The 25,939-nt window shown below is 33.7% G+C and overlaps 1 protein-coding gene across 12 annotated transcripts in view, besides 1 other annotated feature; it reads right to left on the bottom strand.

The window, feature by feature from the left end:
- The window catches only part of SPOCK3 (SPARC (osteonectin), cwcv and kazal like domains proteoglycan 3), a 501,562-nt gene that overhangs the window by 127,852 nt on the left and 347,771 nt on the right, over positions 1–25,939 (bottom strand). The gene's annotated exons all lie outside the window — the stretch shown is intronic.
- Positions 14,597–15,098: an enhancer, noted in NCBI's record as "NANOG hESC enhancer chr4:167796983-167797484 (GRCh37/hg19 assembly coordinates)". NCBI's record gives its function as "activates a minimal SCP1, AML or CMV promoter by ChIP-STARR-seq in naive H9 embryonic stem cells {active_cell/tissue: H9 hESC(naive)}" and the evidence as "EXISTENCE:reporter gene assay evidence [ECO:0000049][PMID:30033119]".

Here is a 25,939-nt window from a genome sequence, read left to right on the forward strand (position 1 = left end):
GGATAAGAGCCTGTCCTGAAGGCAACTGTGCAAAAGAATAAGAGTCTTTCTCTCACGTAGTTTAGGTTAAGTAGCAACCAGTCAATCTCTCTCTCTCTCTTTTTTTCTCTCTCTCCTGCCTTTCTGTATTTCTCAAAGTCTCTTACTAGCAATACTAAAAACATGTGTGCTTAGATATACTTGGATAAAAGCAAATCCCAATTTATTGAATTCCACTTCAAAATTCTAGGTCAGCACTTCTTAAAAATGGCAAAATAACCCATTTCAGTAGATGTTTAAATATAATGCCAAGAGTGCCTTGAGCAATACGTTTGTTGAAGATTAAAGTGAAATAAATTTCCTTTGTAGTGTGCAGGATCCCGATTGCCCTTCCTGTGCTATTTATGTGTGGCTCTCTCCAGCCAGGTGCTCCAATAGGCAGCACTTCCCTGAAGAACTGACCTCTGAACTCATGCTGGTCATCCACAACATACTGGGGTTCCTAAGAGCCTGATTAGACATTTCCTTTTCTGATTGGACATTTTAACTGCAATCTGTGTTGCAATGAAAACTTCAGGAAAGTCCCTACAAAGTAGAGTTTTTTGGCAGCAGCTGCAAATTTTTTCAACATTTGTCTGGTGTGGGATTCCTCTTCACACTCTTCCTTTTGCTTTTCTATATTATAATAATTTGCTTTTACATCTGTGGATCCATTAGCTCCACTTTAGCAATCCCCAGATAGTATTTTATTCCCTTTTGCCCTTCTAGAAATTTACAGTGTATCCTAGCAAATCTGAATGATGGCATTTTGTTCAATAGATATTTTGCTTAATCAAATTAAGTTTTTCCTTGGCACTTTTAGTTGGCTGTATTTTTTAGCACAGCAATTTAAATGATGCTTAAGTGTGTATAAATTCAGGAGTTCATGCAGCAAGTAGGTTCAGATTGGATCAAAAGACAGAAATAGAAGCCTAGAAAATAAGTGCAGTAATTAAATTTAGAAAAAGCAGGTGGGAAGTAGGCTTCCTACTCGATGAACTTGATATGGCTTTTGTGCCTTGGGATGTTTGAAGGTAACCAAGTTAGGAGTCTTGGAAAGAAAAAAAAATAAAAAATAGGAAGCCAGTAAAACTATGAAAAAGACTTGAATGTAGCAAATTGAATAAAAAGTAACAAAGAGGGAATGCACCTGTCAAATTCATGGGCTCATACACAAGTGACATGACATTGAGAGAGTATAAGAAAAATAACCAATTTTGGTTAAGAGTTAGTATTGCTACTAACTTTTTTATCTTACATTACAAAATAATCTAAACTTTAAACATTTTAAGTGTTCTCTTTTACAAATATTTGTCATGTTTGTTAAATACATAAATATTGGGAAAATGACTTAATCTTCCTGAGTAGCCATTAAAAAGTCAATAAAATGCTTTGTTAATACTACACAAATCATTTTATTTGATGATGCTGATTTTTCCCCTTTTCTAGCAGATAAGTCAAGTAAAAATGAAGATTGAACTAAATCCTTATCATTATTTTTCTTTCAAGAGCTTTCAACAAGCATTTACTATTTATCACATAACTTTTATGTTTACTCATTGGTTTTATTTGTATTATCATTTACAATTTGTGGTCACAAATATTATAATTTTTATATACTTAAAATTATTCCTTCAAATTCAGGAAATACAGAGAATACCACTAAGATAATCCTCAAGAAGAACAACCTGTAGACACATAATCGTCAGATTCTCCAAGTTTGAAATGAAGGAAAAAATGTTAAGGGCAGCCAGAGAGAAAGGTCAGATTACCTACAAAGTGAAGCCCATCAGACTAACAGTGGATCTCTCTGCCGAAACCCTACAAGCCAAAAGAGAGTGGGGGTCAATATTCAACATTCTTAAAGAAAACAATTTTCAACCCAGAATTTCATATCCAGCCAAACTAAGCTTCATAAGCAAAGGAGAAATAAAATCCTTTACAGACAAGCAAATGCTGAGGGATTTTGTACCACCAGGCCTGCCTTACAAGAGCTCCTGAATATGGAAAGGAGCTCTTTCCATATTCACATCCACTAAACATGGAAAGGAAAAACCACTACCAGCCACTGCAAAAACACACCAAAATACAAAGACCAATGACATTATAAAGAAATTGCATCAACGAATGTGCAAAATAACCAGATGGCATCATGATGATAGGATCAAATTCATACATAACAATATTAACCTTAAATGTAAATGGGCCAAATGCCCCAATTAAAAGATAGAGACTGGCAAATTGGATAAAGAGTCAAGACCCATCAGTGGGCTGTATTCAGGAGACTCATCTCACATTCAAAGACACACATAGACTTAAAAATAAAGTGATGGAGGAATATTTACCAAGCAAATGGAAAGCAAAAAAAAAGCAGGGGTTGCAATCCTAGTCTCTGATAAAACAGACTTTAAACCAACAAAGATCAAAAAAGACAAAGGCAGAACATAATGGTAAAGGGATCAATGCAACAAGAAGAGCTAACTATCCTAAATATATATGCATCCAATACAGGAGCACTCAGATTCATAAAGCAAGTTCTTAGAGACCTGCAAAGAGACTTAGACTCCTACACAATAATAGTGAGAGACTTTAAGACCTGACTGTCAATATTAGACAAATCAATGAGGCAGAAAATTAAGTAGGATATTCAGGATTTGAACTCAGCTCTGGACCAAGCAGAACTAATAGATATCTACAGAACTCTCCACCCCAAATCAACAGAATATACATTCTTCTCAGCACCACACAGCACATATTCTAAAATTGACCACACAATTGGAAGTAAAACACTTCTCAGCAAATGCAAAAGAATGGAAATTGTAACCGTCTCTCAGACCACAGTGCAATCAAATTAGAACTCAAGATTAAGAAATTCACTCAAAACCACACAACTACATGGAAATTGAACAACCTGCTCTTGAATGACTGCTGGGTAAATAACAAAATTAAGGCAGAAATAATGAAGTTATTTGAAACCAATGAGAACAAAGAGACAACGTACCAGAATCTCTAGGACACAGCTAAAGCAGTGTTAAGAGGGAAATTTATAGCATTAAATGCCCATATCAGAAGGCTGGAAAGATCTGAAATTGACACACTGGACATCACGGTTAAAAGAACTAGAGAAGCAAAAGCAAACAATTTCAAAAGCTAGCAGAAGACAAGAAATAGCTAAGATCAGGGAAGAACTGAAGGAGATAGAGACACGAAAAACCTTTCAAAACATCCATGAATCTAGAAGCCTGTTTTTGTAAAAGATTAACAAAATACATAGACCATTAGCAAGAATAATAAAGAAGAAAAGAGAGAAGAATCAAATAGACACAATAAAAATGATAAAGGGGAGATCACCACTGATCCCACAGAAATACAAACTACCATCAGAGAATGCTATAAACACCTCTACACAAATAAACGAGAAAATCTAGAAGAAATGAATAAATTCCTGCACACATACAACCTCCCAAGACTAAACCAGGAAGAAGTCAAATCCCTGAATAGACCAATAACAAGTTCTGAAATTGAGGCAGTAATTAATAGCCTACCAACAAAAAAAAAGCTCAGGACCAGATGGATTCACAGCCAAATTCTACCAGAGGTACAAAGAGGATCTGGTACCATTCCTTCTGAAATTCTTCCAAATGAAAGAAAAAGAGGGAGCCCTCCCTAACTTATTTTATGAGGCCAGCATCACCCTGATACCAAAACCTGGCAGACACATAACAAAAAAAGAAAATTCCAGGCCAATATCCCTGATGAATATTGACGCAAAAATCCCTAATAAAACACTGGCAAGCCAAACCCAGCAGCACATCAAAAAGCTTATCCACCACAACCAAGTCGGCTTCATCCCTAGGATGCAAGGCTGGTTCAACATACAAATCAATAAAAGTAATCTATCACATAAACAGAACCAATGACAAAAACCACATGATTATCTCAATAGATGCAGAAAAGGCCTTCGATAAAATTCAACATTCTTTCATGCTAAAAACTCTCAATAAACCAGGTATTGATGGAACATATTTCAAAATAATAAGAGCTATTTATGACAAACCTATAGCCAATATCAAATTGAATGGGCAATAGCTGGAAGAATTCCCTTTGAAACCGGCACAAGACAAAGATGCCCTCTCTCACCACTCCTATTCAACATAGTATTGGAAACTCTGGCCAGGGCAATGAGGCAAGAGAAAGAAATAAAGTTTTTCAAATATAAAGAGAGGAAGTCAAAGTGTCTCTGTTTGCAGATGACATGATTGTATATTTAGAAAACCCTACCATCTCAGGCCAAAAACTCCTTAAACTGATAAGCAACTTCAGCAAAGTCTCAGGATAGAAAACCAATGTGCAAAAATCACAAGCATTCCTATACACCAATAACAGACAAACAGAGAGCCAAATCATGAGTGAACTCCCATTCACAATTGCTACAAAGGGAATAAAATACCTAGGAATACAACTTACAAGGGACATAAAGGACCTCTTCAAGGAGAACTACAAACCACAGCTCAAGGAAATAAGAGAGGACACAAACAAATGGAAAAACATTCCATGCTCATGGATAGGAAGAATCAATATCATGAAAATGGCCATATTGCCCAAAGTGATTTACAGATTCAATGCTATCCCCATCATGCTACCATTGGCTTTCTTCACAGAATTAGAAAAAACTACTTTAAATTTCATATGGAACTAAAGAAGACCCCTTGTAGCCAAGACAGTCCTAAACAAAAGAACAAAGCTGGAGGCATCATTGCTACCTGACTTCACAGAATACTGCAAGGCTATGGTAACCAAAACAGCATGGTACTGGTACCAAGACAGATATATAGACCAATGCAACAGAACAGGGGCCTCAGAAATAACACCACACATCTACAACCATCTGATCTTCAATAAACCCTACAAAAACAAGCAATGGGGAAAGGATTCCCTATTTAATAAATGGTGCTGGGAAAACTGGCTAGCCATATGCAGAAAACAGAAACTGGACCTCTTCCTCACACCTTATACAAAAATTATCTCAAGATGGATTAAAGACTTAAGTGTAAAACCTAAAACCATAAAAACCCTAGAAGAAAACCTAGGCAATACCATTCAGGACATAGAAATGGGCAAAGACTTCATGACTAAAACCCCAAAAGCAATTGCAGCAAAAGCCAAAATTGACAAATGGGATCTAATTAAACTAAAGAGCTTCTGCACAGCAAAAGAAACTATCATCAGAGTGAACAGGCAAACTTCAGAATGGGAGAAAATGTTTTCAATCTATCTATCTGACAAATGTCTAATATCCAGAGTCTACAAGGAACTTAAACAAATTTACAAGAAAAAAGAAAATGACTCAATCAAAAAGTGGGCAAAGGATATGAACAGACACTTCTCAAAAGAGAAGTAAGATGGAGTATAGTATTAACTTATGATCAAACTAGGAGTCTGGTTGACAACTTTTATGAAAATTGAGTATTTCAAAAGGATATACTCCGGAAAGTATTATATTTCCAATCAGAAATGAGCTAATGAAATACCTGCAAATATAAATAGGTTTCTCTATTGAAAATCATTTTTAATCTTCATGAATGCATTATTACCTCATCAACTCCATATTGCATGTCCGTGTTATTTCTAGGTTGAAATACTTCAAGATAAATATAGTTAAAAACATGATCCTTAAAACAAATTATTTATCGTACACAAAACTGAGCTTCTGAATAAATATAATCATGAATACTTCAGTTCTAACTAAATTAGACCATGACTCTGGAGCTACTAAGAGCAAACAAATTGAACCTTCCTCTCTGCAAGCTTAACCTAAGTTAGAAGCCCCATATAAGAAGAGTAAAGAAGACATCTGATGAAGGCATCATTTTAATGCACAGTTTGCAGAATTGAGAGTGAAGTGATTTAGTGAGATTCTGTGGAATAACACAGTCTACAGTCTTATTTCAAATTACTGTTTCCTCTGACATTCTGGATGAATATCACAATAATAATAACTATAAAGATAATAATGATAATAATTTCTCGGATAAAGTGATGGAAGTTATTTTTATATTTTCCATCCATAAAGTTTTAATATGCATGAGAAAGAGATAGAGAAGAGTGTTCCATACTCGTGAGAAAAAGAAAATGTTATTTAAAATTATAGGATATAATGGACAGGTTTCAGTACAAATGAAGTCTGAGTTTAAGCTACTATGATTATCATAAAACAGTCACTATTATTATTTAATAAGTAATCACATGTTGAGATGAATGGTTTATAAGCATAATACACTAGAAATGAATTCCCTAATTTTGGAAAAGTTATTTGGCTAAATTTTAAATGATTATTGACTAATGAATTATATTAAATAAGTAAAAATAATTAATTACAGGTAAATTATTTAATGGTTTTAAAGATTAGGCAAATGTGTAGTATATGCTCATATAAAGGTAATATAAAATAATTATATTTAGGCATAGTTACAAAACATTAATAGTAGGCATATAAATTAGGCCATAAAAGTATTATGATGTTTTTAATCTTAAGTACCAGATACTAATTTGTGAAAGGAAAAACTGAAATTGAGAAACACATTATGTTGAAGTAAAAATATTCTTGACTGCCAACATATATATGTTCCAGAAAAAAAGTTTGTTTTAAATTTAATTTAAATTTAATTACTTTTATATGTATATAGTATATGTATATGGTACATCTACCATTTGATTTGTTGGATTAAGAAATAAATGGCATTATTTTAAAAATAAGTTTTGAGAATTTAAACTTCTTTATTTCCATTTCAGTTGTAATTTTAAGGAAATAAATTAGCTAACTGCAAACCACTATATAATTTTGAGTTTTTGTTGTTTCTTGCTACTCTAGTTACACATTCTGGAAGCAAAATTTAAAAATTACCCAGGTGCCATGGCTCACACATGTAATCGCAACAATTTGGGAGGCTGAGATGGTGAGATGGGAGGATCACATGAGACCGGGAGTTTGAAACCAGCCTGTGCAACATAGCAAGACCTTATCTCTACAAAAAAAAAGAAAAGAAAAGAAAAAAAAAAACCTAGGCATGGGGGCACAGGCCTGCAACTGTAGCTAATCAGGAGGCTGGGGTGGGAGGATTGCGTAGGCCCAGGAATAGAGGCTATGGTGAGGTATGGTTTATGATTGTGCCAGTGAACTCCACCCTGGGCAACACAGTATGACCCTGTCTCTAAAAAATTAAATCTTACAATGAGTATAAATCTTACACTGAGTGTCACCTGAACTAATTTGGAAGTATGAAGTTGAATTTTCTTAAAACCTATGTCCAGGTAATCTCAGGAGGATGACCATAGTATTCAAGTATAGATCATAAAATAAATCCAGGAAAACTCACATTTCTCTGAGAAACAGTAATCTAGCTTATGCATACTTTTATCTATTTAAACATAAGAAGAAAAGGACAACATTGTTGAAAAAGTCAAACTATATCAATATAATTTTCTTCACTTAATCCCGCGAAAATAAAACAATGGCTACATGCTATGTGTACATTTCTCAAACTACTTGGAATCAGGGCCTATTTAAATTAAACGGAATGGTCTCTGGCCAAAATTTACAAAATTTCTCTATTATCTTTTTTTTCTATGCTATGATGTACTAGCATGATTTTATGTTTAGACATTAGTGGCTTCAACGAAATTTATAGTTTTGATAATCAAGCCTAATTTTTGGAAATAAAGTTTTAAAGAACTGTATGCTAAGAAAATCAATTAAAACCAAATGTTTAGTTAGATGGGAGAACTGTTGGTGTTTTCATTAATTATTCAGAAAATTACAAAGCTGCTCCCAGGCTAATGGAGCAGAGCTCTCCATTTGACTCAACTGAGCAACCACAGACAAATGCCTGGGAGGACTCTCTGGTGCCTGATCTTGCAGGATCAGCAGGAATAGCTAAAAGGACAGTGCTGCTAATTTCACAAAATGTAAATTGCTGATATGTTGGTCTTTTCAGTTCAAGCAATCAGAGTTAAACACATGCCAAATTATATAGTCAAAAGTCTTAAAGCAGTAGGCATAAGGCCATCTAAGTAAACCAGGGAAATTAAGATCCTTGGCTCTCCCTTTTCTCTCTCAGAGCTCCAAACTAAACCCTCAAGGAGCACAGCTTTTTGGCATATTTGTGCTCTTGGTTTCCAGAAAATCTGGGTGAGAAGATAACAATACTATAACATCTACAATATTTATATGAAAGAAATGGCACCATGTCTAGTAAAAACAGTTTACACTGAGTCACAGTGCCATCTTTGTATTCAAAAGGCAACTGATAGCATTATACACCAGTACATTATGTAATTATAACCAATAGAATTCTGTGTGTGTGTGTGTGTGTGTGTGTGTGTGTGTGTGTGTGTTTGAGATTTACAGTTTTACCTCCAACATGTAAGGAGCTTCAAAGTCATTCCCATACTTATACTAAGAAAACCTGAAGAAACTGGAAAACACTGACTCTTTTGGCACCCTTCAGATAACTGATATTATAGGGCAAATCATCACACGAAATCTGGAGAGTCGGGCAATTTCATAGAGATACAGCACCTCGGATTTTTTACTTAAAGCATAAGTTGATGAATGCCATAAACAAGTAGAAACACTTAAACAGTAATTTTTATTAATTGCTGGAGGCTGAGTGTGATCCAGCTTGAAACTGAGAAGCTCCTGGGGCTACAATCAAAGGCTCACATTTTACAGTTTGTCCTCTAGGAACCCTACGATGTCCTCATGGGGAGGATCTGAGAAAGTTCTCCACATGACCCTGGAAGAAGGAAAGGAAGTGTGGCTATCATGAAATCTTCTTAGACTATTCTCACTAATGAATCCCTGGTCTTTAGGAGAAGGACTTCACCAGAGGGCAATGCTGGTCCAGTATCCCATTTCAGGGATGGGAATTCTGCTCTACTCCCATAAAAGAGGGACAGCTGAGATCAGCTTAGTTGGAACCAAAGCTATCAAAGTAATAAGTTGATAGTGGCACTATTATAGTTGAAGACTTCAACATTTATCAGTAACTGATAAAGCACAAAAAAATTAGTAAGTGTATCGGGGACCTAAAAAGTGCCACCAATCTTGTCAGTCTAATGGATATTTACAGAATACTCCATCCCAAACCCAAATTCTTCTAAAATGTGCATGGAACGTTCACCAAGACAGAATACATTCTGGGCCATAAAACACACAATAAAAATGTAATATAATAAAAACGATATTAAGTATATTCTTAGAACACAAAAGAATAAAACTAGAAATCAATAAGAGAGATAGTTGAAAAAGCCCTAAATATTTTATAATTAAACAAAATAATTCTAAGTAACCCACAAGTCAAGATGAAGTCTGAAGAAAAACTAAAAATTACTTAGAGCTAAATGAAAATACAACTCATAAAAATTTTTGAAACATAAAGAAGTGTTTAGAGGGAAATTTATTGCATTGAATAGATATGTTAGAAAAGAAGATAACCTAAGTTTCCTGATATAGTTTGACTGTGTCCCCACTCAAATCTCATCTTGAATTATAATCCCCATAATTCCCACATGTCGAGGGAGGGATGTGGTGGGAGGTGATTGGATCATGGGGATGGTACCCCCATGCTCTTCTCATGATAGTGAGTAAGTTCTCACAAGATCTGATGGTTTTATAAGCATCTGGCATTACCCCTGCTCACACTTGTCTCTCCTGCCACCATGTAAAGAAGGTCCTTGCTTCCCCTTTGCCTTCCATCATGATTGTAAGTTTCCTGAGGCCTCCCCAGCCATGTGGAATCGTGAGTCAATTGAACCTCTTTCTTGTATAAATTACCCAGTCTGAGGCATTTCTTTATAGCAGTGTGAGAATGGACTAATACAATTCCACCTCAAGAGACTAGAGAAAGAAGAAAAAATTAAATATAAACAAGTAAAAGGAAGAAAATGATAATAAAAAAACAGAAGTCAATGTAACTAAAACAATAAATCAATAAATAAAATCAATGAAACCAAAAGGTGATTCTTTGAAAAGATCAATAAAATTGAGAAGCATAGAGATGAATTAACCAAGAAATAAAAAGAGGGCAAAATTAGCAATATTGGGACAGACCAAAGGGTCGTCACTACTGCTTTCATAGACATTAAAAGGATAACAAGATAGTATTATGAACAGCTATATGCTCATAAATTTGATAATTTTAGTAAAACAAACCATGTCCTTGGCAGACTCAAACCACCAAAACTCTTTTAAGGAGCAATACATAATCTGAATAACCGTATATCTATTGTAAAAATTGAACACTTGGTTAAAACGTTGCAAACAAAGAAAAGATCTGCCAAGGTACTTCAGTGGTGAATTCTATGGAACATTTAGAAAAAAACAATTACAAATTCTGCACAAAATCTTCCAGAAATTTGAAGAGAAAGAAACACTACAAATAATATAAGACAGTCTTTGCCCTAATACTAATGCCAGATAAAGACATTACAAGAAAATTACAAACTAAAATATCTTATGATATTTTAGCAAAAAAATATTTAAAAATATTAATAAATTATTTTATATATAAAACAATATAAAAAGAGTAAGCAGTATTCCAAGAAGTAAGCCTGGTTCAGCATTAATAAATCAATGCAATGTAACATATTAGAATACCAAATAAGAAAAAAAAATTGAGCATACCAATTGAGGCAGAAAAGTAATTTAACAAAGTTTAATACCCACTCTTGACAAAACAAGGTATAAAGAAAAACTTTCTCTATCTAATAAAGGGCACACACACACACAAACACACAAACATACACACACACACACACACACATATATATATATAATCTTAAGTATTTTAATTATGACAAACTGAAAAATTTTCCCCTAAGGTTCAGAACAAGAAAAATATCCTCTCATCACTCATATTAAACAGTACAGTAAAAGTCCTAGTAGTGTAATAAGACAAGAATGAGTAATAGAATATGTAACAGAAGGTAGAAAGTATACATATAGGATATAGAGAAATAAAATTATCTTTATTCACTAACAACATTACTGGCTACATAGAAAATGCTAAAGAATCTACAAAAGTCTCCTGAAATTAATAAGCTAATTTAGCATCGTTGCAGGATATAAAGTGAGCCTCCTAAACACTAGCAATGACAAACTGAAACTCAAGACGGAAAAACAAAAACAAACTATACATATGGGTATACACATAAACTTATGTCCATACAAAAACCTGTACATGGATGTTTATAAGAGTTTTACTCACGGTTGCCAAAACTTGGAAGAAACCAAGATATCCTTCAGTATGTAAATGGATAAATACAGTGGGGCATTCAGACAAAGCAGTATTCTCCAACACCAAATAGAAATGAGCTATCAAGCCATGAAAGGACATCAAAGAAACTTAAATAAACATCACTAAGTGAAAGGAGCCAATATGAAAGGCTGCATAGTGTATGATTCTAACTATATGAATGTCTTAGTTATTTTTTTGTTGCTGTAACAGAATACCTGAGATTGGACAGTTTATTTAAACAAAGAGCTTTATTTGGCTCATGATTCTGGTGGTTGGCAAGTTCAAAATTGGGCATCTGTATCTGGTGAGGGTCTTATGCTGCTTCAATTCCTGGTGGAATGCAGAAGGGAAGGTGGCATGTGTAAAGCGATCACCTGGTGAAAAAGGAAGCAAGAAAGAGGAACAGGGGAAGGCAGAGTCTTTTTAACAACCTTCTTTCTCAAGAACTCATCCATCATGGAGAGAGGGAGAGCTCATTCACGCCTTTCGGAGGGCATTAGTCTCCATGAGGGATCTGCTGCTATGACCCATATACTTTCCACTAGCCCTCACCTCCCAACACCACCAGACTGGGAATCAAATTTCAACATGAGTTTTGGTGGGGACAAACCAAACCAAAGCAATGACATTCTGGAAAAGAAGAGTGATGAAGAAGTTAAAAAAAAAAAAAAACATCAGTGGTTTCCAGGGCTTGGAGAAGAGAGGGATGAAAAGGTAGAGCACAAAGTATTTTTATGGCAATGAACTACTTTGTATAATACCACAATGACTGATACTTGTCATTATAAATTTCTCCAAGCCCATAATATGTACAATAACAAGAGTGAACCTGAATGTAAACTATGAACTTTGGGTGATAATGATATATCAATAGCTTCATCAATTGCAGCAAATGATGCAATTGCAGTATGATGGAGGATGTTGATAATGGAAGAGGCTATACATGTGTGGATGTATGGGTTATATGTTAAATCGCTGTACCTTCTGCTCTATATTGTTGTGAACATAAACTGCGGCACAAATAAAGCCTATTTTAATGAAAATGAAAGTTTTCATTTCAAATACTTATAGGAGATATATATTGGACTTTGAGAATCATAGTGTAGATAAATTCTGATGTCCTTTCTTTAAGATTCCCTGTTACTACTAAATTAGTTTGATTCCTGACCAATAAATTCATAAACTCAACTCATTTAATTTGAACAATTATTTTCTCTACACTAGGCACTGTAGATGCTAAGAACATAGGTTGGTAGTTGGGGAAGGGTATAGAACTCAATAGAAACAAAAGGGACAGATTCTAAAGGAAAAAGAGGAAGGCAAATTGGCATCAAAGATCTCAAAAGCATGTGGGTATTCACTCAGAAGAAGGAATGGATTTGATAATAATATTGTTAAGAACAATTTCCCAAGTGTCTCTCGTGTGTACATGCACCTTGTAGTAGCTTTTGTCCCAGACTGTCATTTTGAAGATGCATGTATAGCAAATGATCTTGGGAGATTGAAGTAGTGTCGCCATGCAGGGGAGAGAACAAAATCTGTTGCTTTCCAGAATGGTAAAGATAATGTCTTTCTCTGGGGTAGAGGTTGTACAAGTTTGCTACTATCCTCTTTATAAGGATGGGGGTTACCTAAGCTTGGCGTTCCTCAGCTAATACTCAACCCCACCATGTATACAGCATTCTCCTGAGCTGAATCCCACCTGTGAGCTTGTGACCAAGGAGAATGAACGCAAGCAAGAAGTTCTTGTGAACAACAATCAGAGTCCTATATCTCTGATTTCAAAGTCTCCTGTATGCTGCCAGCATCTGTGAGATTGTGGCAGGCAGGCTTGTTAGCTTCCAAGTAGGGAAAAAGCATCAGACCCTTGAAAAATATAGGTCTTTGATAAGTAGAATTGATTATTTATATAACGTGCTAAGGACATCGTATCTGTGTATTCAATTTGATCTTCACAAATACTCAGTGGATTTTACTTTACCTACATTGTAGAAGAGGAAACTGAATTAGCATGTAATTGCTAATCTCCTCAATGTCAAACTTCAGGTCAGTGGCAGTATCACCATGTAAGCACACACATGTGTGGCCCCTACAACTGTGAGTTTAAATACAGGAATCAAGTGACTCCCTGGACACTTGGGTTTTAAATAGAAGACTTTATGATAATCAAAAGTTTTGGAAAAGTAGATTGTAGAATTGTATTTGGTACATGACGTATATGCAAAATGACAGAAATTAGGGCAGATGCAAATTTAATATCTTATTGGAAAAAGTAATCCCTAAAGTAGTAGAATTTTAATAGTAACTCTTTTGCCTGACCTAGTTAAGTAATTATGTCAATACCTTCTATTTATATAAATAGACTAGAATATCAGAAAGTTGTTCTAGTCTGCCCATATTGTAAGACATTTTTGTCTTAAACAAATAACTGTGCACCTTAGTTTGTGCTATGCTTACATATGGCTAAAATCTTTAAGAAAATTATCTCATAGAGGAGTGAGTGATCTACAAGTTTTTTAAAGGACATATAGATATATTTGTCATATTTACAATATGTAAATCACTAATGCCATATAAATATTTATGATAGGTTGGTTATTACTTTTGATAATCAGTATCACTTTTCTGCAACACTTTTGCATATTTAAAAAATAAGAAGCTGAAACTATGTATTATTAAAATATTTACTTCTAGAAAAAGTTAATAGTTCAAAAATCCCAAGTTAGTTTATATAGCCTCAGATTTTCTAGTAGGTGTGATATTTTTGTCTATATTATTAATTTTAATGGTGAAATACTTAATCATGATATTCCTTTCAGTTATTCATACATCATTTTCTATAATGTAAATAATATTATTGCTGTCTACAATATTAGAAGCTAGAAGACAAATGATCAAAGCGTTCACATACTGAGGAAATATGCTATTTTATCCGGTATTAAATTCTATTTACCATACTATTTAACAATTCTATGTTCAAAATAAAGAGTTGTCTGATATTGAAGCTCCTAAAAAGTTTACCATACCCACACCCTCTTTAAGAAAATATTAAGGCATATAGCTGTAGTGAAGAAAACCAAAGGAGACAATATAAGAAAATGGAAAATATTAAATTAGAGTAATTATGGACATAAACTAGGAGCGGAAATTACAAGTGTTACAGATGAGAATTTGTGCAGGTTTAGGACCAGACAGGACTGGACTGGATCAGAATGTAGAAAGGTCTAGAATAGACAAAGTGCCAAGTGAAGAGCAAGCGGTTTCTAGGCAGCAGAAAGCTGTGATGTTACCACATTTTCAGAAATTTGGTCAGTAATTGAAACAACTCTGAAAGAATGTAGACAGTTTACTACTCATGGCACAGCAGGTAGCAAAAGCTTCTTCTTGTTCACATGAATTCCCATTGCCCCCTCAAGTCACACAGAAGCAACAGGAGCCCAGTGGAAGGCGGAGCACACAGATCTGTGGCACAGCTGAGGAGCACGGGGCTCAGGAAAAGCACAACCTATATGGGATTGGGAGCAAACTTAACTCGCTGTTGCCTTGGAAGAAGGCATTATCTTTACTACCGCGAGAATTAAACAAATCTCCTCAGAGAAGTGAGGGGCTTTGTTATAGCCTAATTCAATAACTCCACCCACTCACTTGAAGGGAAACATTATTCCAAGAATGTTTGCTTGGGAAGGTAGTTCAAGACTTGTGGGAACACTGTGAAGAACTGCTTTCCTACATACCGCTGCGAATGTGACTGGTGTTTTCTTACAATTTGAGACTAAAGAATTTTGAAAATATGGCAATGGAATTTTTTCTTTCCTCTTGATGAAAAAGAAAGCTATTTAGAAGCTCCGTGGAAGAGAGTTAAGAAACTGAAGAAACAAAAACTTATGGCCTGGGGAAAACAATCAGCATAAAATAAATACACATAAAAGTAAAAGCAGAAAAATATCAAATATCATGTTAACTAAAATTTGGCATGATTTTAAGCAAACGATAATGTTGAATAGATGATCCATCAGGTCTTGGCATTCTAGTTTTATTGGCACAAGGATGTACAGCATTTTATAGTGGTGATGAACATGTATATAGAGCATAATATACTATATTATAGCAAAAATTATTTACAAACGATATTAATAGTATCTTTTGATTTTTAACATTTAGTATCAAACTCCAGACTAATCATGGAAGACTTGTTTTAGTTAAATATTTAAGTGTAAAAAACATAAAATATATGTAGGTGAAGGAAGTCGAGATGAATGAGCAGAACTTGTTGCAAAATTAAGGGTGCTGGTGACACTTTTCTGAACTTGATGAAACAAGAAAAAAGTTTACATTTATTGAAAGGTTAAAAATTATCAGTGAGATAACTTTAATAATAATTTATTTTCACTATGGGAAGTTTGGGGTAGAGAAATAAGATAAATATTTATTTTTCAAAATAGTAAATATTGTCTCTAATTGATACATTATCAGTGAAGGGATACACACATCAAAGTTACAATAGAAACAACCAAAAGAATGAAATACCATAGTGGTTAAAGTGGCTACCTCTAATCAATAAAACAGGATTTAAAGGGTTTGTGCAAGAACAGTTGATCTCATTATATTTTGATTTGTACTAGTTAGTATTTTACCATGTACACAAATTATTTTGTGTCAAAATATTCTCCTATAGAAACCAAAATTCTGAACCTTTCAGAGCCATTTTAGACTTACTGATTGTGATTCAAAAAGTAGATTTCTCTGCAGCTATTTTCTCTGGTATCATTGAACATTCCTTGATTATTCTTGCTTTGGGTAAATTCTGTTATTAGAGTTGAGATATTTCTTTTATGGTGTTAAAACTGCCAAATTTTAAGTAAAGAGTTCCATTACAGAAAATAAAAGCAATTAGAGCTCTCACGTTCAGAAAACATAAGCTAAATACAAATAAATATAAACGTATTATTAGGCAAATGTAACAGTATTTAAATCAAGTGCTATTAAATACTAGATCTTTGGTAGGGATAGAAGAAAAAAGAATGAAAATCTCAAAAGAACAGTAAGCAGGAGGTAAAATGTTTCCACAATCCATTTCAGAGTACACTATAATGTAAAAGTTCTCATTAACAGGTCATTTTTGTTCAGAGATAAACCATACTTTCATTCTTAGAGATGATTTGGGAAAAATATATTAAAATTCTTGAACTGATTTTTTTGTTTGTAGTAACAACTTCATTACAAGTGATTTTACATTTAACTGATGTTACTAATTATGTAAAAATAGTAGAAACAGTAATAATTTTGCCAATAAGTAGAAATTTGGTATAAATATACTTTACAAGAAATGCACAGAAAAGATTAATTAGTAATACATTAAGTAAATCATCTATTGCTACCATAGCTATCATCCTGCATCACCTTGGAAATATGAAAAATGCTACCAGGAAAGATATAAACAAAATGGCCGGGCGCGGTGGCTCATGCCTGTAATCTCAGCACTTTGGGAGGCCGAGGCAGGTGGATCACCTGAGGTCAGGAGTCGAGACCAGCCTGGCCAACATGGTGAAACCCCATCTCTACTAAAAAAAATACAAAAATTATCTGGGCGAATTGGCACATGCCTGTAATCCCAGCTATTCAGGAGGCTGAGGCAGGAGAATTGCTTGAACCCGGGTGGCGAAGGTTGCAGTGGGCCGAGATCACGCCACTGCAATCCACCCTGGGCTACAGAGCAAGACTCCATCTCAAAAAATAATTGAAACAAAGTTATAAACAACACTTCTAAGGAGAGAAAAATAAATGATGCATGTTTACTTGTTGGCATCTCAGAATGTTTATTATGTAATATTTCATGAAAATTTGGCTCCCAAATATATACACTATAAGAAGTTGGCCAAAATCATAGGCAACATAGGCCAATAAATTTTTAAAATTTTTAAAATGTATATTTTATATGTATATTTTATATGTATATTTTAAATGTATAAAATGTATATTTTAAATGTATAAAAAATCTTTAAAATGTATATTTAACTCATAGCTTGTAGTAAGTTCATTTTAAAAATACAATGTCAATTCTTTATATATCTCTGCTTGGTAAAAATAATACAAATACTCTAAGTTATTTCACACATATCACCAAAATTATATACTGTTATTGAAGGAGCACATGACCTGTGACCATAACAGAAAGAGAGACTCCAAAGGGCTGGTAAGACACTGTAATTAGGAGGCAGCAATCATCGCTTCAAAACCTTGCTTTGGTGCTTATTAGTTGTGTGACTTTAGACTGGTTACTTAACTTATCCGTGGCTCAGGTTAATCATTTGTAAAGTGAAGCAAGGATACAAATAGCATCCACATCCTAGGGCTTTGTGAGGACTAGATGAAATAAGACATTTAAATAATACATGCAGCTAAAGGAGTGTCCAGCATATACTAATAAGGGCAAAATGATATTAATCTAGCCCTTTTACTTTAAAATGGCTATGGATTTATGTTTAACAAATTTAAGAATCTTAACCAAAATTTAGAAAAGTGACAAACCTGGGGTAAAATCAGCCTGTTAATTAAAAAAAATATATATGCAGAGTGTAGATGGAGAAGGCAGAAAGACTATCTGGCAACTATTTTAAATTAAGGAAATGTCTCTTCACTTTGGAACTTCAGTTTCCTCATGTTCCCAGCTGGTTTACCAATAAGAGTTATAGCCAGGCATGATCATGATGGCTCATGCCTGTAATCCCAGCGCTTTGGGAGCCTGAGGTAAGAGGATCACTTGAGGCCAGGATTTAGAAACCAGCCTGAGCAACATACTGAGATCCTGTCTCTACAAAAATAAAAATAAAAATAAATTAGCCAGGCATGGTGGCGTGCACTTATAGTTCTAGCTACTCAGGAGGCTGAGGTGGGAGGATCACTTGAGACCAGGACTTTGAGACCAACCTGGGAAACATAGCAAGACTTTGTCTCTAAAAAAAAGTGTAAGATTTAAAAAATATGTACATATTTTGAGAACTAAATGAAATGACAAAGGCAAATTACCTTGCATATAGTAGATGCCAGATAAATGTTATTTTCACCACTTTCCCTCATATTTTACATTTGTACTGTGTTCTTTGAACTCCACTGAAACAAATTATATGTTGGGAATGGGGGATGGAAGACCAGTGGGAGAAGAAACATTTATTGAATACTGATATGGTTTGGATCTGTGTCCCAGCTCATATCTCTTGTTGGATTTTAATCTCCAATGTTGGAGGTGAGATCTGGCGGGAGGTGATTGGATCATGGGGGCAGTTTTCCCCTGGGTACTGTCCCGAGTTCTCATAAGATCTGGTTGTTTAAAAGTGTGTACCATCTCCCTCTTCTCTCTCTGCCTCCTGTTCTGGCCATGTAAGACATGCCTGCTTCCCCTTTGCCTTCTACCATGATTGTAAATTTCCTGAGGCCTCCTGAGCTGCAGAAGCCCTGATGCTTCCTGTACAGCCTGCAGAACCGTGAGCCAATTAAACCTCTTTTCTTTATAAATTACCAATCTCAGGTATTTATTTATGGAAGTGCAAGAACAGACTAATACAGATACCTACTATATATGCCAAGTAATTTGTTCACTTTATTTTATTGAACTCCTGGTAGACTGAGGTTGCTTTTTCTATAGTTACTACTGATATTCTAATAGCTGAAGTCTGTGGTCATTTCTCAGGTGTCATATTACTGAACATTCCTTCTGTAGTCAAGAGTCAAGCTCTTTATCTCTTTCAAGTCAGAATTATTCCTCAGCTTCTGGTACACTGTTCTCTCCTGTTTCTCCTTAAGTCCTCCACAGATTCTTCTTCCTTTTCTGACCCATGCATGTATAGTCTTTTCCAGAACTGAGCCACTGCTTTTCTCACTTTCTGTCCCTCAGTGGATTTTGTTCACTCTCATGATTTGATGTATTACCTGTAAATTCTCCAGCGTTTACTTTAGAAGAACCCAGACTACTTCTCTTAGATGTGTAAAGGCAAATGTGTCTATACTTGGTTTGGCCATTGACACCTTAAAAACACTGTGTCCAATATTGAACTTAACAACTTTCCCATGTCGTTTGATTCTCTAACAATTTTTCCATCTCGGTTTTATCACCATAATCTTCTCAGGAGTTATCATTAATTCTCCTCTCCTTTCCTAAAGTCAATCGACAAGGCATAACCATTTAGCTTCCTAAACATTTCTTGAATCTATCATCTGCTTCCTATCTCTAATATTTTAATCACAATCATTTCAAGCCTCAATTCTTACCAACTTCCTAACTGCTCATGCTCCTCCATTCTTGAACCATCCGGTTTAACCTTTATATATCCCTCATTAAGTATTTAAAAATCCATATATAACATTCCTCATAAATGTTGAATTCACTGAAAATCTTTGTGGACTGGTATGTTCAATAATTTGCTAAATATATTACATCTTTGTTATATTATTCCCTATCTATTCATAGACCTTTGTAATATGATTTCTAAATAATCTAATACTGAAAAGAAGTAAAAACTCAGAAAACCATACAAACTTTCAACATATACTTTTAAATTAGTTGTTATATAGAATAAAATGTAATACAATTTTACTTTTGTAATGTTTTTGAAATTAAAAAATTCACAGGCATAGTTTACATTAACATGTAAATAGAAACATCAGTCACATAATTGCATTTTTTTTCCTTTTCTTATTTAGTCACTTGCAAAATGTCTAAAGTTTGTTATTTGCAAATAACAGAAAATGATATATCCATAACAGAAATGATTTATTCCTACGATAAATTAATGTAGTAAATTGATTAATAGTAATTAACCAAGTGATTTCAAAGTATAATTACAAAATAAAAAAGCATAGAATTGTACATACAGTGTCTTTACTTCAACTAACTTACTTGTATCAAATATATTTTACAGAAAAAGAATTCATTTTTATTTATTACTTTTAATTCAATATGGCTTCATGATTTATTTTCGCTCCACAAAACATAGATAATATTTGTACTATATCTAAAATTGACAGTCTTTGAGAATTTTTTCCTATTTCTGAAATATCAAATCAACAATTTCTTTATGAGGCTCTGTAAATACTGCCTTAACTTTGCTTTCCTTTCTTATCTTGAGGCTTAAAATTATCATGAGATCCTGAAATCCTCCTAGACTTTTTTAAGCTGCTAAGTTACATAAAGAAACTATAAGCTCAAATATCATTTTAAGAGACTGTTCAGAATGTGTGATGCTAAACTTCAAATATTTCATTAATCTTCCATGCACAAAAGGATTTCACAGAAGATCTAAATACAAATCAATTGACCTTATTTATATATTTGGAAAGCTAATACGTCCTATACTAGAAGTGGAATAGCAAACATCTCCTTATTATCGTACATTATATTTAATATTGGTACAAGTAAATGCTGTTGAATATGTGGTAGATCATATTTTTTAAGATACGTACTGGGTGGAAAGGGGGATGACAGCCATGTGCATTATAGAAATAATATTTGATTTTGCACTATTATTTGTGTGCATATAATTATTATTTGTCTCCTTCCTTGTAATAAGCTTGAATGGCATGTGGTTTCTACATTAGAATTAACATGTGTAAAGCACACTTAAGCTAAGGTCAGCATGATATAAGTTAAAGTGTAGAGATAGTCTGAAAAACAGTATCACTCCCTCCAGGGTAATTTTATGTGCTTTTTCAAGAAATGTATTCATCTTAACATACAGATCTCAGGAAAAGAGTTCACAAATATCAACCTCTTAATATATCTCAACATATCCATTTTAAACCAAGAAATGCTCAGTTTCTGATTTCATCTTCTGGCCAAACCACACTGTACCATGGTGCTGTCTGGGCTTGCATCAATTGTGATTTGTCGGGACCCAGTTCAAACCTGTTAAATATTTTGACTATGACCACTGCTTTTAGGTGAGTGCTTATACTGCATTTTGTAAATAGTTGTCTTAAAAGAACATGCCATATTATGTATTGGAAAGGAGTTAAAGAAGGAATAAGTTTAAACGTCCTTTAGTGCTACAAGAATTAATACAGAGCTATTTTTCACTTTTATATCTGATAACATACAACTACATAAGCTCAAAATTCAAAATTTCTAAGTAAAATTAGTAGGGAAGTTAAAATTTAGTCCAACATCAGTTTCACAGATAATGTAAAATATTTGTGTAAAATATGAAATTCATTATTTAACACAAAAATAGTCTTCAGAGAAGACATTGAAAACTCCTCTTTCAGGTTATGTTCTGTTTTCAGACACATTAATTTAATCCAAGAATGTATTTCAAATAATCCAAATGAGTAAAACTTAATTTTTATTATAAATAATTATGCAACACTTGCCAATAAACTGACTTAATTTTATTTTTCCATGGCTCCAATTAAACAAAATTACAGAAGAACTTACCATTTATGAATACACTATATTAGTTACGGAGAAGCATGCATGTTGCAAGAGTATATTAATACACTGATGTTAATCTGTTTCTCATTGAAAATCCATTCCATAATTCAGAGGATATAAAAAAATTCCATCATACAAAATTAAACGTTAAAACTAAATTATTTGTCACTTGGAAAATGGCATACATTAATTCTTAATCAATAATACTTTTTCCTTAAATCAGTTAACTTATAATCATAGCACAATAATGAAATAAACTTTGTTTCTTGATAGGGTTCCATAGCACTCAGAGTACTGAAATGAATAATGGAAAAAATGACTGTGTCAGATTATAGAATAACTCAGTCCCATACCTTGTCATACTGTAAATAAAAATTATCAGGCTTTGCAGTTTAATATGGAAAGGAAGCTAATGATTACAAACCTATACTCATTGTCCCCACATCCATTTACAAATAATACAATCAGTCTCAGATGAGATATCTTTTGTTAAATAAACAGCTATCTTTTTGTTTATGTTGTGGTTGTTGAATGATCTCTGACCTCATACCAAAATTTCATGGGTACCAATGATCTCTGAAGTGAGAAGGACTCATTACAAATCTGTCTCAAACTTGTGTCTGGTGTGGGTCCCAATAAAGAATAAAAGCAAGCACAAGATTTTTGTACTTTATTGCTGGACCCATTGTACTTAGAAATGCGTAGCTCACATCAAGGGCCAAGGTTTGAAACAAATGTCTTTTAGTAACTCGTGACAACAGCATATGAATCATTAAAACTGCTTTCTTTTAACAGTGCCTAATTTGCATTTTAATACACACATTCTGATAGAAATTGTCAAAAATCAAGTACTAAAGAATTTAAGAAAATTTAAATAATGTCACAAAATTATAACCGCTAAAACATAAAGGAATGGGAGTACAGGCATTAACAAATGTGTCCACATGGTAGTTCACTATTATCTTTCCTGATGACCTAGATCACCTAGAAAAGCTGTTTTTAATTACAAAATATTATAATGTACATTTAGACTAGTAATTGTATCAAGAAGCAGTATATAACTACATACATGGCTACATATCCCTCTCTCTGTGTCTGGAAATATATGTTGCAATGGCTAGTAGCTATGAAAGAATGTGAAAGACTTGTCAAAGAAAATGACCTATACAGGAGATCGAGATCAACCTGGCTAACACAGTGAAACCCCGTCTCTACTAAAAATACAAAAAATTAACCGGGCGTGGTGGCTGGCACCTGTTGTCCCAGCTACTCGGGAGGCTGAGGCAGGAGGATGGCGTGAACCCGGGAGGTGGAGCTTGCAGTGAGCCAAGATAGCGCCACTGCAGTTGGCCTGGATGAAAGAGCGAGACTCCATCTCAACAACAACAACAAAAAAAAAAATGAAAAAAAAAATGACCGATAATAACTTTCAGGCTAAAGGATTGTACTGATGAGTTGTTTCAAGCTCTCAATGTACAAATATTTTGCAAAATATGCAAATACATACTATTAAGTATAGAAAAAATTAAATCTCTTCAATTTTTACCACCCAATATGATGTTAAAAGCACCAGAAATAAAATTACAAATGGCATTTAATATGTGAAAAAGTTATGTAATTTACTAGGATTCAGCAGCATTTTACAGGTATAATCTTTTGAAATGAAATAGAAATGCAAAGTTGGTTAAATTTGAGGAAATACATCCATAAATCCTAATGATTTATATATTTTATATTTTACAGTTGAAGAAATGAGACTCATAAACTTAAGTATATAGCTAAGAACCACACAGCAGTGAAGGACTGGAATTCTAAAATTTATACCCTTAATGAATAAGTTAGGCTCTCCACAGGATAACAATGCACAAACCAGAAAGAAATTCCATAAACTGGTTAAACACACACACACACACACACACACACACACTTAGTATTAAAGTCTAGTATGTAGGATAACAGAGTTATATGAATAAGGCAAAACGAGAAATATGATGTTACATGATTCTCAGCTCCCAATAAAAGAAACCTCTAGTATTTTTAAAAATGCAGATGAGGATTAGTAGGAATTACAAACCACAGGTCCAGAAAAATAAGCTAGTCCTTTTGGTTAGCATTCTATAAATCACCCAGATTACTAAATTCAGAATAATCTTAGAGGGATTCTTTTTCCTTGTCCATCATATGCAATTGGATTTAAAGCCTTGTGAATTTCATCTCAGCAATATTACCCCAATTCAATTTTTCCTGTTATTTCTTCATCTAGTATCCTTGCTGGGACTTGGTTGCCTTATTTCTAAAATAACCACCCACCCCAACTTCAAACAAACAAACAAAAAAATTGTCTCAGTAACATAATAAATTTCTCTAAGATTTACTAGAAACTGTTAACTCTTTTCAAGTAAAACTTAGAAAAACAGTTTTGGAAATGTTAACTCTTTGCTCAAGAACATAAACATTTTCATATGTTTGACTCAGATAAATTAATTCCAAAGCTTCATGTCTGGCAATGACCGATTTGCACTGTATCCTCCTTGAAAGTACTCTGTATCCTAGAAGCAAGGGATGGCTTTCTTGAAGGTGCCCAAGGCCTTTAGGATTCCACGTTCCTTTTCTACTTCCTCCTTTTTTACCCAGCTTCACCTGTTACTTTTTAAAATAGGTTATTTTCCTTCTCTATTCAGGCTTCACTGAAACTCAACAATTCAAACTACAAGGTGCATAAAGAGTATGTGTTTAAATGCATGTTGGGGTTAAAATATTCAAAATGATATAATTTGAAATGAATTAAATTTTAAGAGGTTAGATATATAAAACCATAAAACTCATAATCATAAGAAAAGTAGTTTGAACTTTGGAATACCCAGATTTGAAACAAACAGAAAATGTTAATTAAAATGATCTTTTGACTCTAACCAGTGAAATGAGTAAACCAATGGAGCACTTTAGATGTGTCATATGTCTAAAGTTTACTGTGCTTATGTACCATTGTTGTGTAGACAATTTAAGATTTGTCTAGGGTAGAAAAATCCTACTTAAAAATAAATGCTTTCTACAATATTTTTCAATGTTCTTTTTCAATGAACTTTTGTTTTGCAAGTCCTTTCTAATTCTTAGGATTGCATTTTATACACATACATAAAATCTGTAGAAAATGGTCTATTCATAGACCATGCTCACAACTATGAATCTCACATTTTCCTGGCCATAAAAATATTAGAGGCCTCTAAAAATCAGCTGAAATGTCAATATCCTTTGAATGAATTTGATCTACTTTACAAATAATACTTTTTTATTTGCAATTGAACAGTACGTTAACAAAAAAAGATGGAAGAAAAGGAGGGAATCCATTAAAGGGACTGCAAAACACTGGCCTGTGTAATACTAAATTTATGAGTTAGAAAATGAGAAAACTGTATAGCTAAGTTACTAACTGAAGGGTGTATGCTTATCTACTTATGTAAAGTCAGAATCTAGGGTTTAAAACATGGAATTTATCTGTTTTTATTTATTTAAAATACTTGAATGTATGTATTTGGACCAATTTATGCACATTTCTTAATAAGTACATTAGAGAAATAGAGAAAAACTTTATTTATTCATACTTTATGAAGAAAATCTATATTTATTAGTTTTAATGCATTTCAAGTAGATTTAAAGATTCTGATCTTAACATAGGAAAACATACTATGGTGCTAATTTGACCTTAAATATAGGAAGTCAGAAAGATTTAAGAAATATCTCATTGTTGGTAGTTTATTCCTCACTTTTTCTAGAACAGAGAAGATATTAAATAGAATTTCCTGCACTGCACAGTCTACCTAAGGCATGCTTCTAATGTAAATGACAGTTGAAAGATTAGAAATGATACTAAACTCAGTTTTATATTTCCCCTGTCTCTCAGCCTTTGGCACTGTGTAGAAATGACACTCAAAATTGACTGTACTGCTTTTCCACAGCAGGTAGCAAAATCCTGTACTTGCGTTGCCCTGACAATTTGTCAGAGGAGGATTAGTTTAAATTCTTCTTGCCTCTCTTTCTACGCACAATTGAACACAAATGATCTTTATCCCTTGATGATATGACTTTTAAAAGTTTCTTTCTTGATATATTAATATACACACTATACAGAAAATTTGACAATATGAAAAATAATTATTGTTTATTCACAAGAGATCCTCTTCTCAGATGTGCTACCTTCCAT

The sequence above is a fragment of the Homo sapiens genome, chromosome 4, assembly GCF_000001405.40.
Source record: "Homo sapiens chromosome 4, GRCh38.p14 Primary Assembly".
NCBI lineage: Eukaryota > Metazoa > Chordata > Mammalia > Primates > Hominidae > Homo > Homo sapiens.